General features: G+C 39.9%; 1 annotated feature.

Moving 5' to 3' along the window:
• Positions 746-825: an enhancer, noted in NCBI's record as "active region_12376". NCBI's record gives its function as "activates an Ori minimal core promoter by ATAC-STARR-seq in GM12878 lymphoblastoid cells {active_cell/tissue: GM12878}" and the evidence as "EXISTENCE:reporter gene assay evidence [ECO:0000049][PMID:35858748]".

Raw genomic sequence — 2,341 nt, 5'->3', positions numbered from 1 at the left:
GGAGTATGTCTACCACATTTTACCTCTCCATACTCCAAGAATGGACGTTCTCCCTGCTACCATGAGTAACATACAATGAACATTTTCATACATGTTCCTTGGTGATCTGTGTGAGGGTTCTACCAGGAGCAAGACTGCTGGATCATGAGGTATGTATGTATCAGAGAGTTCAGAAACAGATGCACATTTCAGCCAACATGACACTAATAAGTTTTTGAATTTTTACCAATCTTACAGTTGTAAAGGGCTACCTCATGGGTGTTTTAATGTACATTTCTCTGATTACTAGTGAATCTGAGCATCTTTTCCTATATACACAGGGGTATATAGGTAACATCCTGAAAATTGCATGTTTGAATCTTTTGTCCTTTAATTAGGTTGCTATCTTTTTCCTTATTAAATTGCAAGAGTTTATACATAGTCTGAATTTTTCTACATATTCTTCTGTTTATTTTAGATATTGTGAACCTCTTTTCTCATTCTGTATACATCTATTCATTTTGTCTATGGTGTCCTTATTTGAATTGAAACTCTTAATGTTAACATAAAATTTTTCAATTTTTTATCTTTAGAGATTGAAGACACTCCCTACCCTAGATTACAAAGACAGGACACTGCATTTTCTTCTATTTTATACTTTCACCCTTTTTTTTTTTTTCTGAGATGGATTTTAGCTCTTGTTGCCCAGGCTGGAGTGCAATGGTGCGATCTCAGCTCACTGCAAACTCTGCCTCCTGGGTTCAAGTGATTCTCCCACCTCAGCTTCCCAAGTAGCTGGGATTATAGGCACGTACCACCACACCCAGCTTATTTTTGTATTTTTAGTAGAAATGGGGTTTCACCATGTTGGCCAGGCTAGTCTTAAACTCCTGACCTCAAGTGATCTGCCCACCTCAGCCTCCCAAAGGGCTGGGATTACAGGCATGAATCACCATGCCTGGCCTTTTTACCTTTCAGATTTAGAACTTTCATTCATCTGGAGTCCACCTTTGTATATCGTATTAGGTAAGGATCTAAACTTTGTTTTCTTTCTTTCTTCTTCTTTTTTGTTTTCGTTTTTGAGACAGAGTCTCGCTCTGTTGCCCAGGCTGGCGTGCAGTGGTGTGATCTCGGCTCACTGCAACCTCTGCCTTCCAGCTTCAAGCAATTCTCTTCCCTCAGCCACCCAAGTAACTGGGTGGCAGATGTGAGCCACCACGCATGGCTAATTTTTGTATTTTTAGTAGAGATGGGGTTTCACCATGTTGGCCAGGCTGATCTTGGACTCCTGGCCTCAAGTGATCTGCCCACCTCAGCCTCCCAAAAGGCTGGGATTATAGGCATGAGCCACCACTCCCAGCCTGAATTTTGTTTTCTCTGAGTATCTATTAAACAATCTATCCTCTCTCCCATTGATTTGCAGTACACCCTGGGTCTGTGGCTGAACCCTTGATTATATGCTATTACTCTATTCGTTCTTAAACCAATCATTATTACCATGCCTTATGGTATGTCTTAATATCTGCTAAGTCCTCCCTCTTTACTCCTTGTTAAGATTGTCTTCGATATTTATTAATATTTACTTTTTCAAATAGATTTTAGAATCATTTTTTAAAGTTGACTGCAAAACCAAAATAATTTTTACAAAGTCCCTCTATAGATCAGTTTTGGGGCAATTGACATCTGAACAATATTGAGTCATTTGTCCTACTTTCTACACTTATTCAGGTGTTAATCTCTCAGAATTTTTTTTGTAGTGTTCAGAGGACAAGGTTTATACATGTTTTAAGCTTATCCCCTTGTGTATTCTGTTTTTTGTTTGTTTGTTTGAGATGGAGTCTCGCTCTGTCGCCCAGGCTGGAGTGCAGTGGCATGATCTCGGTTCACTGCAACCTCCGCCTCCCGGGTTCATGCCATTCTCCTGCCTCAGCCTCCAGAGTACCTGGGACTACAGGCGCCCGCTACCACACCCGGCTAATTTTTTGTATATTCAGTAGAGACGGGGTTTCACCTTGTTGGCCAGGATGGTCTTGATCTCTTGACCTCGTGATCCACTCGCCTCGGCCTCCCAAAATGCTGGGATTACAGACATGAGCCACCGCACCCGGCCCTGTTTTTATTCTAAGTAGTATTTTCTTTTATCTTCAATTTCCTTTTTTTTTTTTTTTGCTAGTCTATTGAAATATATAATATCTGACCAAGTGTCCTGTGACCTTGATAAACTCACTTATTAGTTCAGTAGATTTTTTATAGATTACACATCCAATCATGTTGTTTGTAAATAAAGACAATTTTCCTTCTTCCTTTGCAATCTGTAAGCCTTTTACTTCTTTTTCTTGCCTTATTGTACTGACTAGAACCA

The sequence above is a fragment of the Homo sapiens genome, chromosome 17 (genome assembly GCF_000001405.40).
Source record: "Homo sapiens chromosome 17, GRCh38.p14 Primary Assembly".
NCBI classification, from domain to species: Eukaryota; Metazoa; Chordata; class Mammalia; order Primates; family Hominidae; genus Homo; species Homo sapiens.
This window is presented reverse-complemented; position numbering and strand designations above follow the sequence as displayed.